Genomic DNA, 16,177 nt, shown 5'->3' on the forward strand with positions numbered 1-16,177 from the left:
TTTTATAATCATGTCCCTGTCTTCCATCTTAAGTCTTGCTAGCACAGTCAAACTGTTTGAAGATAATTGTTTTCAAAAGATCAGGAAGAAATTTGTCTATATGCTAGCATTCCTTGGAATGACGCCTTCTAACTACTCTCAGTCTTCAAATTATCTGGAGGCAGAATAAGACTGCCTTCCAGTCTTATTAAGGGCAGGCCGGTTATCTATACTTAGGATGCCCTATCTTTGGGACATATGCCAGCATGAATGATCAACTGCAACTAGACATTGCCTAGTGACCGTGAATCATGGAGATTTACCTGGTTTGCTTCGTGCAAGCTATCTGACACTGCCTTTGTGTGCAGCAGAATTGAACTATTTTAAAATCAAAATTCTGGTGGAGCGTATGCCTTAAAATAATTTATTAGACTGTGAACTCTAGGAATCACATTGTGGGTGTACGATTAATACCCAAATAAGTGGTTCAGGAAACATTTTATTCATTCTCTGGCTCTTGCCATCTTCCACTGATTAAAGTATGGTGTTGGGGCCGGGTGCGGTGGCTCAGGCCTATAATCCCAGCACTTTGGGAGGCTGAGGTGGGCGGATCACAAGGTCAGGAGTTTGAGACAAGCCTGACCAATATGGTGAAACCCCATCTCTACTAAAAATACAAAAATTAGCTGGGCATAGTGGTGGGTGCCCCTGTAATCCCAGCTACTCAGGAGGCTGAGACAGGAGAATCATTTGAACCCGGGAGGCGGAGGTTGCAGTGAGTTGAGGTCATGCCATTGCACTCCAGCCTGGGCGACAGGGCGAGACTCCATTTCAACAACAACAAAAAAAAATGTGTCTGGGGAATAGAAATTGTGTGGCATTGTGTTTCCACAGCTAGAAAGACACTATCAGTTTGATCAGTTTGCAATCTCTACTTGGCAGAACACTACGTTAAAGATATGCTGATAGATTTTAGTGAGCTATCCTATCTGTATAACATCTTTAGCTCCAGAAATAAGAAGACACAGTAATAAAACAGTGAATTCTGTGTGATTCAAAAAGACAAATTGTATTTTCTGGAACATATGCAAATCAGCAATATATTTACCAATTTCAAATGAAGTGCTCTCCCGTGTAACAAAAAAAAAGGAATTTTTTCTTTGAAGAGCAAGATGCTTTATTTTTCTTTAGTTTTTATCCTTTTTCTTATGAAATGCAAGAAACACATATTTGACTTATCCATTTACTTTAGCCAAACAGTCTCCTTATTTTTAAATGTCTGTGTATACTACTTTGACCTGCATCTTAAGAAACATATCAAAAGTAGCTGACAAATTCTACCACCATATGGTTCATTTCTCTTTTCTTTGTTCCTTTTTACTTCTCACTGTAGCAGTGTCTGCAGAGGGGAGAGTGCCCAGAGTGGAGAGGATCCCAATCTCCTACTATCAAGATCCAAGCATCCTTTTTATGTCCTTCTTACTGTTTGTCTAAGTGGAACTCAATGAGACAAAGCATAGGCCTATCCGTCAAATGGTAAACGATCTAGAACTGGCCTCAAAATAAGAAACAAAAAATTATAGTTGCAGAAATAAAAGAAAGGCCGAGACTCTAATAGCTGGCCAGGTGGTCAGTTCAATACATTCATGCAAACAAATGGTCAATTGAACTGGAGGCTGGGGTGGGCAGTCTGGGGAGTGGGAAGTGGTGATTAACTAGACAGGTCGGGCTATTCAATTAATGGGTCACTTCAGTCCCAGTGTCTGAACTGGCAATACTGTGTATACATAGTTGAAGCTTACATATGAATAAAGTAAAGGTGAGTGTTTAGAGAACTCTCCAGATAATTTGGAAAAGGAAGTAGCTAGGGGCTCAAATTTTGTAGAGTGACTCTCTCCTCTGTTTGAATCTGCTAGATAATTTCCTGTTTCATTTTGTCTGAGCAAAAAACAAGCCTCCTTTATGCAAAACAGTTTACTGCAGGGAAAGAATAAATTTGTTGGATTAAATAATTTATTCTCTTTAGTTTACAACCTGAGTTGGATGAGATAAAATCTAGAAAATCTACAAGCAAAATAACCACATTTTGAAATGTTGCCTTCTTTTGTTCACAGGAGCTAAATGTGCCTCTTCTTTATTAGCCAAAGGCACAAGAACTAAATACAAAATTCCTTGGGGAAAAATGTTGCTATAGGGCTGAGTCCACTGGCTCCTTTCCCTTTCTTTATTCTCAGGAAGAAAAGGCACCACCGAAGGGAAAGCATTAAAATCCTTCTGAGGTTCAATTCATGATCCCTCCCTGCCCCTCAACCTCTCCAGCTTCTCTGACATTTAAAGGAACACTGTCAAATAGGTGAGGCTTTATATTTAGAATGAAAGGCTTAAAAATTCTTAATGACAATAGATACCATTCTTTGATACATATGCTTGGAAAACAGATTAAAAATATTCACATCTTGAACTTGTTTTTCTGACTGTGTCTATGAGGGCAAATGAAATTAGAAGAGCTAAGCATTTTGAACAGTATAGACATCTAAGTTATATAAACCAAGTCTTTCTACTTCACATTTTACCTCAGTCATAGGCTTTCTTTCTCCTATTGACTTGACCTCTGATAGAACCACAAGTCATCCTACTGAATATTCATGCATTCAAATTAAAAAGAAAAGAAAAGAAAAGAAAAACAGTGTCACTCTCTGCAAAGCCCTATGAATCTACACATTAAGCCACAGTGCTCTCCTAGATTTTACCCATGTTTACAGGAACACCTAAATTCACTGCTTGATAGTACTGGGGAGCTTCAGTGTGGGGTAAGAATATTTTCCCAAGAGCACCCAAAGGGGATAAGTGGCTGAAGGAGGAAAGCTCAGAGGAAGAACTTCCATCAAGAACCCAGGGATTGCAGAGTTCTTCATCCATCCAGAAAAATACAGAGGAAGACAAATGTGATTCTTTCATCAGTTCAAAAACTCAGAAAACTAAATATAAATTCTCTGTGCCTTCTGGGTGTCTGTTTCACCAAGAAAATATTGACTCAATCTCTGCTACGAAACATACAGGCAGAAAGCAGAAAAAGAGTGAGGCATGATATACTATGATCCAAAAGAAGCAAGGTGAAACTTGCACCAGGTAACCAACTAGGACTTATACCTCCATAGAATGGACGACCTGTGTGCATATAATTGTAAAGTCTTTTAGACTTGGTCAAAAGGCAAGGGCCAGATCTGTTTACTTGCAAATGGGCTATTAGCAGTTTATGAGAAAATTATACTGTGACTACCAAACTACTATCCATGTAGCAAAAACGACATGTTCCACCATTTTTTCCTCTCGTGCTGATTTACAGTAAGTCACAAAAGAGTTAATGTTCTCTCTCTCCCTTAATCCCTAAAGCAAGTAGGTTAATAGTACCAGTGGGTTGTGTTTATAGAATTGAAACACTGTTATTGTATATGTCAAGAGAATTAAACCTCTCTGATTATCTATACATTTTAAAATGTATCATTTCCTTGCATAGATACATATCTGCAACAAAGATGAAGAAACTGAACATTTAAAAAAGTAAACTAACAATTACATTGTTAGAGAGTAAATGTAAGTAAAAGTGACTATTGTTAATTAATGTTTTCTACACACATTATTAGTGAATGCATGCCTTTAAAAATCAAAATGGAGGATACAATGAGATCATTGTTCGTGTGTTTCCTTGCAGTGATCAGGAAGATAAATAGTTCATCCCAGTTGCTTCGGTGATTTTCATTTTAGGAAAGGTTTGTCATTTTCAGTCAGCTTCAGACAAGGACTCGGCTTAAAAAACCTTTTTCAAAGTGACCACTGTTTTGGGCTGCATGAACATAAAACCCCTCCTCTTGGGGAAATGCTATCTTGTTTTCCTGGATATCGACTTTCTGATGATCCGTGGATACAGAAAAGGAGACGTGTAAAAAAATCACATGCAGGGATTGACCATTGAAGTCAATCAGAAATAATGCAAATGCAAAGCTGTGTGTCTTGCCCATTTACGGGCAATACCAGGCTGGAGAATACCACAGTAGCTCTAGTGAATAACAGGGGATGCCCCCTCCCCATGCTGGTAGCAGGAGGTTCACTCCTTAGGTCTGTATTACTTCTCGGCTGCCCCTTAAACCCTAAACAAGAAATCACTTCTGTCTGTAATGTCTAGGGTAAATAAGGCTAAGCAAAATTATAAATTAAATGTATTTTATTCTCTATCTTTTCAGCCTGCTTAGAATTCATAGTCTTTTCTGTTTCAAACCATTCTTTTTTTGTTCTCCCCACCTATACCTTCTATAGTCCAATGGTTCTCCCCCAACCACCCTCGGCTTTTTTTTTTTTTTTTCAATAGGAGCCAGTACATCTCTATGTGAATTTAAATCACGTGTTATTATTGTGGTCCTTATATTTGAGGCCTTTTCTATAAATGTGGAATGTTAAGCATCAGGAAGCAAATGGCAGTAGGTATTTGAGGGCAGGAGTTTACTCTGTGCCTGTAAAAATCACTCCAAGAAAAGGCAGAGATGGGTGGCCTGCCCAGGTCACTAAGGTCTGGGAGGCCAAAGCTACTCCTGTACAAATGCTGCATGTGGTGTGGTAAAGACCTGAATTGCTGCCCCACTTACTCAGAGTCACCATTGCTTTCTCCAGAATAGATAATGAAAACCAAAGAAGATTTATGTCCAGAGACACATTAGCAATAGTCTATAGACCAAGAAGCCCCTTGCTCCTCCTTCGACATAACTAATTTTGAGTAATAGAAAATAAATCTGGGTCACTTTTTTGTAGCTGTAAATCCAGCCTTAGTAATACTGACCTCCATTAACATAGCTAGTATTTCAAATTCCACTGTAACAGTTGCTCTGACTCTTTGGGGGCTGGGAGGCAATCCAAGTAGCCAGAGAAGCAATTGTTTCACATGCTTCAATCCTGCCACTCCAGAAAAAATATAAGGGGGACTAGGGCAAAAGAAAATCTCTTATTTGTTTTCCATTTCTCATTTCTCGTATCTTTATTGCTTCTCTCTCATCCTTAACCTGTATCTCCCTTCAGCTGATGCCTGATTACCTTCTACCATGTTCAACATTATGATCAGTCACCTACTATGTGCCAGGAAGTGTGCAGTGTGTGAGGATACCAGACCCTACCTACTGGGAGCTTACAGTCTAGCTCAACAGGCACATCATTAAATAAGCAATTGCAGCAATTATATTAAGTGCTGGGCCAAGGGAGGTACCAGAAGTCATAAGAATCCCTCCTCTGAGGGGATAGAAGTGAAGACTTCAGAGGGGAAGTAATGATTCTGGATGTGTAGGACTCAGCCAGGTGAAGTGTAAAAGTAAGGATGGAGGAGAGTGTTCTAAAAGAGGGAACAACATAATCAAAGTTCTGGACAGGAGAGAGATTTGACATATTTGAGGAAGTGAAAATTTTATCTAGAAACTTGCAATGAGTAAGTAAACACCAGGTCAAGAGGAACTGAGAGATTGGCAGACAATGGAAAACCATTGAAAAGGATTAAACTGGGAAGTGATATGTTCTCTTTTGCATTTAAAAAGATCACCAATGGGGATATGGAGAATGGTCTGGATAGGTCTTAAGACTAGAGCCAGGAAGACATGTTAGAAGGCTATCAATTGACCCTAAAGACACTGCTTCAATCCCTTTGATGACAGTGAGTTTGCTTTCCCCAGAGATAGCTTATTGGACCTCAGGACTGCTGTGAGAAACAGAAAATGCTCCTTTACGTGTTGCCTGAAGTTAGGCTCACTGATTTGGGGCATGTTCTAATTCTACCAGCTAGGAACACACAGAATCGCTTGTCAAACATTCTGAGTCAGATATGTCCTCCCTATGTCTTTTCTGAGAAAGGCATACAGAAATTCCCAGCTAAACATCACCAGTTCCCTCATTTGTTCCTCAGATGATATGGTCCATTCAAGTTTTGTAATCATCATGGGGGTAGATGGAGGGTCCCAGTCCTCACAACCATTCTGGTAATTTACTCTTGAATTTACTGGTTCACATGTATCTATTTTGTAGTGTGGCTCCTGAAACTGAAAAACCTACCCCAGGTATTCTGTGAACAGACAGAGTAGAGAGTCTGTCACTGCCCACGGAGAGATGATTAGGCTTCCGGGAAAAGGTGAGAACACTGGCAAAGTTCCGGAAGGAGGAACAATATCCCTTCTTCCCTTCTTCATGAGTCGTACCATCCCTTACTTTTGGCTGGTCACATAACCACCCAAAATAAGGGCTACATTTTCCAGCCACTCTAGCAGCTAGGGGTGACAGAGTGACTAAGATTTACCTGGAAGTATCGTGTGTGACTTCTGGGAAGGGTCCTTAAAGAGAGGGGTAGTCCTGGCTGGGTGCGGTGGCTCACGTCTGTAATCCCAGCACTTTGGGAGGCCGAGGCAGGCGGATCACAAGGTCAGGAGTTCAAGACCAGCCTGGCCAAGATGCTGAAACCCCATCTCTAATAAAAATACAAAAAAATTAGCCGGGCATGCTGGCGGGCGCCTGTAATCCCAGCTACTTAGGAGGCTGAGATGGAGAATTGCTTGAACTTGGGAGGCAGAGTTTGCAGTGGGCCAAAATGGCGCCACTGCACTCCAGCCTGGGCAACAGAGCAAGCCTCCGTCTCAAAAAAAAAAAAAAAAAAAAAAAAAAGAGAGGGGTAGTCCTTGTTGCTGTTGCTGCAGGTATTTTCTCCTTCTTCCCAGCTGGACCACTAGCAGCCATCTTGTCCGTGACAGGGAAGCCCCATGATAAGGTGGGCAGAACCGCAGAAGAGACGGAACGTGGATCCCTGATACTGTTAAGTGTCTCCCTCCTGGTTTACCTACTCTGGGACTTCTTTTACAAGAGACAGAAAAAAAATTTATGTATTTTAACCTACTATTATTTTGCATTTTCTATCACTCACAGCCAAATGCAAATCTGATTGATATACCTTCCATGTTTCAGATAATTTTTTTTTTTTTTTTGAGCAAGTGATGACACAGATGAGTATTTCTTTGTCCATTCTGTAGAATGTGTCCTGGGAATGTGTGCGGGCTATGGCGGTTCTATTGTTTGGGGAAACTCTTTGTCAGTACTTCTGTCTGAGGTTTTACCACGCCCCTCCTATTTTAGGTTTCCACATCCAATAAATACCGTGATGTACGCAGTCTCGCTAAATCTAACTCTGCTTAGTCGAAAAGGTTTCTGTTGACTCATGTGAATATGCATCAGAGGAAAACAGTGACAACATTAATTGGCAGAAAGCCAAACCTACCCAAAAGTTTCCGCATTTTCTATAAATGATGAACAAAATAATGAATGGAAAAGTCCCTCTATATTTTATCAATTTGGACGAATGCCAAAATGCAGATCAATCATTTCATTAAGTACATTCACCTTCTCGCTCCACTGGGAAGGGAATCACTTAACAGCATAAAGAAAACATTACTGAAAATTATCTCTAGTGTGATAAGGAGGGGGAGGGTGGCCAGGAATCAACTCAGGTAAATTAAGAAATAAAAGTGTGACTACTTTAGTATCAGAGGAATTTAGTTATATTATTATCACCTTTGGAACACAGTAAGAACCTTAGTCCGAACAGATGAAAGATTAGCCACAATAAAAATGTAAACATGACCCTAATTAATGATTTTGCTCACAATTAGTCTCTCTGTATATACTCATTAACACTCTTAATGTTCTAGATAACTTTAACATCCCTTGGTCAGGAGAAGCCATGGCTGAGCTCTGCATGGCCCAGCTGCAAAACAGATATCATCTGTAGCTTGGATTTGCTGAGATTCCATGTCCATTTCTTGAGTCAGATCTCAGAGTAAACACAATTCTTCTAACAAGCTATTAGTGAGACTTCATTCTTTTTCTTCTGTTTCTCTTTGAGGAATGAATGGAATCTCTCCTGGGACCTATCCTGTGCCTAAGAGCAAAACAAGCACAAAAGTTCCCACATTTGGTAAACTAAGAGCCTGACAGATTTCATCAGAGAAAGATGTACTAAGTTAGTGTGTCCCTCACAGCAACCCTCCTGCATTTTAATTATTTCCTTCAGGTCATGGCTATGCCTCAATCCACCATGTCTTCCTGCTGACTTCTCAGGAGCTTCTGGACTTTGACAAGTTAACATCTGTAATAGTGCAAAGCATGTGTATTTGGTGGAGGGTGGTGGGGGGATACGGGTGGAGAAATGTTGAAATAGCTTTAAGGATCTGACTAAAAAGGGCCACTTCAGGAGAGGGAGCACCAGAAGCAAGGCAATCAGAGGGCAATGGTACCATCTCTTAATCACATACCATGAACCAAGAGGTGACAATGAGAGGGGAAAAATAGTAAAGACAATTCTATATAACAAAAACAACCAGGATGATAAGCTTTATTTCTGAATTTCTTTGGTTTTATGTTTTGAAAGCAATATTTCATAAGATTACAATGACATTTAACTCTTGGGGGAAAAAAAAGCTTCTGTTTTTTAATAAAAAAGAAAAAAAAGTCTCATTTACTTAGGCCACGAAATCTGAAATACATTGTAAGGGATCTTCATGGACAGATCAGAGCAATAGATATTTAGGTAGTTCCATATAACTACTTACCATAATTACTTGAACCTACTTGATGGATAGATCTATAAAACATTTCTACTATGTAGACTCAAATATTTACAAAGGGAAGTGAATCTCTGGGTATTCAAGAAGAAAAGGAGAAAGAGTAGGAGAGAGTAAGGGGAGGAGGAAAGGGAAGAAGAGAAGGATGTTTAATTGCCTAAAAGGACCGTTCCCTCCCCAATTATAACAGCATTTTGCCATGTACAATTCCATCATAGGCTCTGGGTGCTTTAGAAGTCTATTTAGATTAAGAAACAATTACGCTTAGTTTGGAGTTTTGTTCAATATGTTTCAAATTCTGAGACCACTAGGACTATTCCACATGAATGGCTTATATCAAGGACCTATTTGTAGACAAAAAAGTAAAAGGATTTGTGAATATATCAAAATGTCTATGAGTATAAAAGCTTAGACCAAGTGGAGTCATATGAAGACCTAAGAAAAGGATTTTAAAAGTCTCAAATGGGGCGGGGTGTGGTGGCTCATGCCTGTAATCCCAGCACTTTGGGAGGCCAAGGCAGGCGGATCACGAGGTCAGGAGATCGAGACCATCCTGGCTAACACGGTGAAACCCCGTCTCTACTAAAAATACAAAAAATTAGCCCAGCGTGGTGGCGGGCACCTGTAGTCCCAGCTACTTGTGAGGCTGAGGCAGGAGAGTGGCGTGAACCTGGGAGGTGGAGGTTGCAGTGAGCCAATATCATGCCACCACACTCCAGCCTGAGCGACAGAGAGAGACTCCATCTCAAAAAAAAAAAGTCTCTAATGGAAGTATAGTACCATGAAGGCCTCATGTTAATCACACACAGGAGGAAAAAGAGTCTATTTTCTACCATTGTGGATGAAGTAGAAAAAATCATGTAAGAATTGATTATGTTTCGGCCGGGCATGGTGGCTCGCGCCTGTAATCCCAGCACTTTGGGAGGCCGAGGCAGGCGCATCATGAGGTCAGGAGATCAAGACTATCCTGGCTAACACGGTGAAACCCTGTCTCTACTAAAAATACAAAAAAAAAAAAAAAAAAAAAAAATTAGCCGGGGGTGGTGGCGGGCGCCTGTAGTCCCAGCTACTCAGGAGGCTGAGGCAGGAGAATGGTGTGAACCCGGGAGGTGGAGATTGCAGCGAGCCGAGATCTCACCACTGCACTCCAGCCTGGGTGACAGAGCAAGACTCCATCTCAAAAAAAAAAAAAAAAAATTGATTATGTTTCAGCAGTTTTATTGGAGTAACCAAGTCTACATGAAAGGCAAAGCATGGTCACCAGTTATGGAATCCCAGGTAGGATCAGGAATGCGTTAGGAAAGTGCTAATTGCTTCAATATAATTCTTCAAAGCCTGCAAAAATCAGGGATTAGGAGAATGAAGGTTAGTAAAGCTTGCTTTGGGTAAAGATGTGATGTGAAAGAAAAGCCATAGAGATAGGATCCATTAAGTAACTATGCTGTGTTCCAGATGAAATTTTTTTTTTTTTTTGAAACGGATTTTCGCTCTTGTCACCCAGGCTGGAGTGCAATGGCACGATCTTGGCTCACTGCAACCTCCACCTCCCGGGTTCAAGCGATTCTCCTGTCCTTAGCCTCCCGAGTAGCTGGGATTACAGGCACATGCCACCACGCCTGGCTAATTTTGTATTTTTGGTAGAGACAGGGTTTCACCACGTTGGCCAGGCTGGTCTCGAATTGCTGACCTCAGGTGATCTATCCGCCTCGGCCTCCCAAAGTGCTCAGATTACAGGTATGAGCCATCACGTCTAGCCTCAGATGATATTTTTTACCTATAGAATGTGAGCTCCCAAAGGAAACACCTAGTAAAGTTTTGAACACAGTAACAAGGCAATAAATATGTTGAAAAAAAGGAATCTAAATTGCCTTTTAAAATCATTTATGAATGACAGCACAGCAATTGCAAATGTAACATATCAGGCTACAATAATATAACCAAGCCTCCATATATTCATTTAATCAACAAATACCTATTGAATACCTTATAGATGCCAGGCTGTGTTTTAGGCACTGGGCATTCAGACATATGCAAAACAGAAAAAGTTGCTGACTTCATGGTGTTTACACATCAGTGACAAAGGCACAGCATATCTGGACAATTACCTGAATTAATATGTTTAACATTCTCTAAAGAACAGATATTTTAATGATTTTTCAAATAATTGCACCATGAATACACCAATTGACTAGGTATTTCACTTCCTTAAGAATTGCTGGCTCTGGAAAAGAATGCAACAAGTCCTATCAGATTATGCCTTAAAAATGTGCAAAATGTTTGTTGTCAGATCTGGCTGTACATTTATTAAGCTGTATTCATAATTAACAAATTTTATTTAGTTTTTTTAGATATAAGTCAGCCGGCAAGCTGCTAGGAGCAAGCCTTTACAAAAAAAAGTAAAAGAAAAACATAGTATCCTTTCTCTTGAGGCACTTATATTCTAATGCAAGAAGTCGCAAGTCACAGAGAAATACACTTAAACACAAATGACCAAACATGAACATACTTACTAATTCAAATGCAAAATACATATATGGTGTAGAAACGGAAATGAATCTGTAACATACTTTGGAATGAGTGAATCAGTGCAGGTCAGCCATGCATGAAAATATTTAGCCTACCCAAGGATCTATTTGTTAAATGTTTTCAAAAAATTCAGTGCGGTTATTCTCAATAATATGAGTGCAAAAACACATTTTAAACAGAAATCTTTCTCCTTTCTAATCTACTGTATTAGTGAGTGCTCTCACAGGAAATAGATGGTGCACTTGACTTAGGATAATTCATGAAGGGGTTAAGGACTAATTATCCAGGTGTAAATAGGGTGTGGGGGAATCTCCAGGGATACAGCGGGAACCCAGGGCTAACTACAGAGATGCTGTCAGCATCCCTAGGCCTGAAGGACTGAGGGAGGGAGAGGTTTCTGGAACTGAGGAGAGAGAGTCCTGTGGGGCAGGCTGCCTTGAAAGGAAGCATGGGCCTTCTGACCAGCAGGGACAAAAGGGTGTAGGTGCACTTGGAGGGGCAAATGGAAGACATGTGACATGCACCACATATACTATTGCCCACCCAAGTTAATTAAATAGTCATTCAATATTTATTGAGCACCTACTACGCGCCAACCCCTGTACTATGGAAGGACGCTAAAAGAAGAGTAGGTCATTGTGTCTGCCCTCAATAATTCAGAGCCTAGCGTAGATGACAGACTTACAAACAGACTAAGTAATGTGCATTGATTCAGGCAAGTTCTGTAACAGAAATTTGCAAAAGTGTTGTGAAAACAAAGAGGGTTGAGAAAGAGCTATCCTTTGGAAAGGGACATTACTAGGGAATTGCTGACACACAGCCTTTACCAGTAAGATCAGGTTAATTGTATTCAAGATAATAAAGAGGTCACTGATTTATGGGCCTATAATTCTGATATATTTACATAGATAAAAGCATATGCATTAAGAGGTCTCACCAAAGACTCCAAGAGTTTTTGTTTTTGTTTTTTTAAACCACAATTTATATCAGAAATAGCGCATTGCAGTCACATTATGTTGAAGGAATCTGCTTAAGTTCATACAGCCACTTAGTAGCAGAGAGAGAGGACAAGGACTCAGGTTTCCTGGCTTTCTGCCAAGGTGAATCTTGAAGGTGTAACATGTTTTCGATGTAATTTTAGGTGCACCTAAATTAAATTAGTTGCCTTTCTCCTCTCATCATTGCTCTACTACATTTCATTTCTCTTTATCCTTCATTCTTATTACATTGATCGGAGGGCCTCTTGAAATTGGCATCAGTGAACTTCTTAAGAATCGAAAGCTCAGAGTCCTATATCTGTTGCTTAGCAGTAAATTTCAGTAATGTGTTTTTCACTTTACTTTGTGGTAGCCTGTACTTTCCTGGCGTAATTTCTTTTCATATAATGTGTGAATTTTACAGTATGATGTCAACATGGTGAAATGCATAACCATATGGTTGCCACATAATTGAATGCTCCAGTCTGTTAATTGTGCTTTGAGCAATTACTGTAGTGACCTAATTGTTGCCATTCCTTGTTTTGTTAGTAACAATTATTCAGTCTACTTGAATGCAGCAAACTTACCAATATATTCATTTACTCATTTCTACAAGACTGTGAGTGAACTCCCAGGGACCATCCCCGGGCCTTAACATGATGCCTGGTATATTGCAGATGCTCTATACTTGTTTAATCATCCAACATGCATTTAGCATCATGCATTTAGCATCTAATGTCTAACACATTTCAGGCACTGCACTTGGGGTACAAATATAAATATGACATAGTCACTGCCTTCAAGAGGCTCGGGCTAAGTTTAATTCAATTTTACTGTTTTTTAGGCAGACCAGTACTGTGTGGTAAAACAGCAGGCTTGTGAAGGGACACCTTCAAACATGATAATGAGAGCAGTTGTATGATTCATGTTGCTTAAACTAGAGCCTATGTAGCTCACAGGCTGAATTGACTTGGCAAGCAAAATAATTGCTCTTGCAGTAGCCCAAATGTCGCTGCTTCTGATGAGCTGCCTTCTGCTCTTCTAACTGATGGGACTGATGGCTGGAGGTTGCCTGGCCATCGGAACCCTTTTCTTTTCTTTCCTCTCAAAGGTCAAAGATGTGTCTTCCTTCATCCATCCCTACCTTCTTTGTTGCTCCTTTGGAAAGATTCCCGTCTGGCTTACAGCTAATACAGTTGAGCATTGAGGTTTGTTTCTGCACTTTGTTTTCAAACTTTCAGGTGTTTTGCTCATGTTGTCCATGCAAATTTTTACACGTTTAAGAAGAAACAAAGTTTACTTTTGTGCCTAAGGAAAAACTGATGTCTTTGGTAAAAATGATGCCTTATATGAACTTTCTGGTTCTAAAAGCTTTCTTAATTTCAGTTTTGATTGACTCTTTTTTTTTTTTAATTATTGAGAAGGTTAAGCAATAGAAGTTTTTATGTGTTATCTAGAAATAATTCCTTGATCTTTTCAAAATGCTTTGTGAACATGGAAAATAAGTATAGCTTATATGTTATCAAAAATGAGTTTCTTTATGCAACATGAATATTTGGGGTGAGTATCAGTAATACAAGAGAAAGTAAACAATTCTGCTGAAAAGTGTTTATAATTGCAGAGATATTGAAATTGCCGGATAGGCGGGTGCGGTGGCTCATGCCTGTAATCCCAGCACTTTGGGAGGCCGAGGCGGGCAGATCACGAAGTCAGGAGTTTGAGACCAGCCTGACCAACATGGTAAAACCCTATCTCTACTAAAAATATAAAACAAAATTAGCCAGGCATGGTTGTGTACCTGTAATCCTAGCCACTCAGGAGCCTGAGGCAGGAGAATCGCTTGAACCCAGGAGGCGGAGGTTGCAGTGAGCCGAGATTGTACGACTGCACTGCAGCCTGGGTGAAAGAGCGAGACTCCATCTCAAAAAAATAGAAATTGCCAGAATGGCTGCCAGTGAGTAAAGGTTCATCAGGAAACCCATTTCATTTTGTGCTTTTCAGACCTAAAGTAAAAGAGTACAGATGTTTTCTTCTTTTATTCTTGTCTGCAAAGTCCACACATAAAGTCAACTATGTGAGAAAATAAAAGCTGCTTTGGTTATGGATTTTGGAGCAGCCCTGCAACTCCATATTATTATTTATCAAATACTTTGGAAATTTCTGGAAAAATAGAGGTATGAAAAGGAGCACCGGGAAAACAAATGGTTTTAGAAGAATCTTTTAAAAATATCATGTTTGGTAAATAAAAAACAAAAGTTATATAGACCACGATGAAGTGTTACCAGCATAAAAAAGGGGCAGGGAAATATCATCGCCCAACCTCCTGCAAAAACGCAGTAAATTTAAACCATAACATTCTTTCAAGGTAACTTAAGGAAAGATGTTAAGTCTGCTTCCCTTTTTGTTTTCATACAAGAGATTTAGTCTGCCCTCTATAAAAGGACTTGTTTTCTTGTAACTGCACCAGTTAGACTTCTCTATTGTAATCTGGAAATCTATGGCTTTGGGGTCCTCCAAGCATAGCTTTTTGTTGTGTGCTCTTTCTGCTGGGCAACACTGTGCTGCAAAGGATGTCATTTTAATTATTCACTGGCCCATCTTTTAAGCCTCTTAAAGGTTATAGGGCAAATTCTGTCTAAACACTCAGTAAAAGTCAAGGTAAGGTACCATCTTAGATCCAATTCCCCAAATTAGTTGGTAAATTGTGGTCTCTTTAATGATATTGCTTCATCCTTCAATGAAGTTGATTATAAACAAATTGCAGCCAGCAGCCAAACTCAACACAGATTATGTGCAACTACATAACTGCCTGCCTGGGGCGGCCTCTTTTACCTATGCACATCTTAGGTGAGACTGTGTTCTGGCATGCAGGGCAATAAAACCCAGGCCCTCTGCTGCTCTGCCTGTGAGATAGTGTGGTTGCCTCAGGATATGCCAACACAGTCAAAAGAAAAACAGAGGTGAAATCCACTTTACCGTATGGAGTATAACTGCTGTCCCTTAAAAATTGTCCAGGCAGTATATGCATGGCTGTGAGTAAACCAGTGATGATTACAAAATACAACAGATATCACACCAACTAATCCAAGGGCTCTGCATCTTGCCATTATCGAATAAAGAAGGCACTTTCAAGGCTTTACTGTTTTTAAGATCTATATCCTGGCTTGTGTAAACATATACGGTCATCACTAAATAGATGCCTCTCTGTTACAGAGCCAACAAAGAACTTTTTTTTAAGCCCTCACTTCCTCTCCAGGAAATGGTGTATATTCAGAGAGGAAGCTGTCTTCCTGTTTTCTCCATACTAACACACTTGCTGGGTTTTTTTCTAAGCTCCCAAACTCAGAGTCTCCATCATATGGAACAAACTCTTCTTAGCAACAGGCCACATTTTTTGCTGCAGTGATTTTAAAAAAGATTTATTTTCTGTAAGTCATAAAAAGTATTATTAGTCTAATTTTTCATCTACTGTATTCTCAAGTACTATGTCCCCTCCCAAACTCTATCTTATTCAGCCTATAATAAGGGCATTAGACTCCTCCAATGGGGTTATTCTGTCAAAATTCTTAGCAAAATACATCACCTCCTAGCTTCCCAATTACAAAAGCAACTTGACAGGGCACCTGCTTTTTATTATTTCAGTGTTGTGAGATACAAACCCAGTGTGCCTGGCACCCAAGAATGAAATATAATTCAAGAACGTTTTGTACATTCTGCTCTAATGTTTTAGCATTTCAGCATTGATTTCTGGGACTATTAAAAAAGAACCATTTGGAAACAAACAGAAGTATTTTTCTTTAGTTGTTACAGTCACTTGAGGAACTCTTGTTTCATTTATTTCATGTAGAGATACTTGAAGTAATAAAGTTCAGGTAAACCTGAGAATTAAGGCAGGGCTAACCCTGGATGATATATTAAATGAGATGAATTTTGAGTTTGTTAACTTACTAGTTTATTAATTCTGGTAATATGACAAAATAAAGTTCTTTAACACCCCCCAAAGATAACACTAGTTCACCAGCAATGGATCCAAACCAAGACAAAATCTCTGAATTGCCA

The 16,177-nt window shown here is 39.7% G+C and overlaps 1 protein-coding gene across 3 annotated transcripts in view; it reads right to left on the bottom strand.

Annotated features, from left to right (window-relative positions):
• The window catches only part of MAML2 (mastermind like transcriptional coactivator 2), a 366,598-nt gene that overhangs the window by 215,959 nt on the left and 134,462 nt on the right, over positions 1-16,177 (bottom strand). The window lies entirely within an intron of this gene.

The sequence above is a fragment of the Homo sapiens genome, chromosome 11 (genome assembly GCF_000001405.40).
Source record: "Homo sapiens chromosome 11, GRCh38.p14 Primary Assembly".
Lineage (NCBI taxonomy): Eukaryota > Metazoa > Chordata > Mammalia > Primates > Hominidae > Homo > Homo sapiens.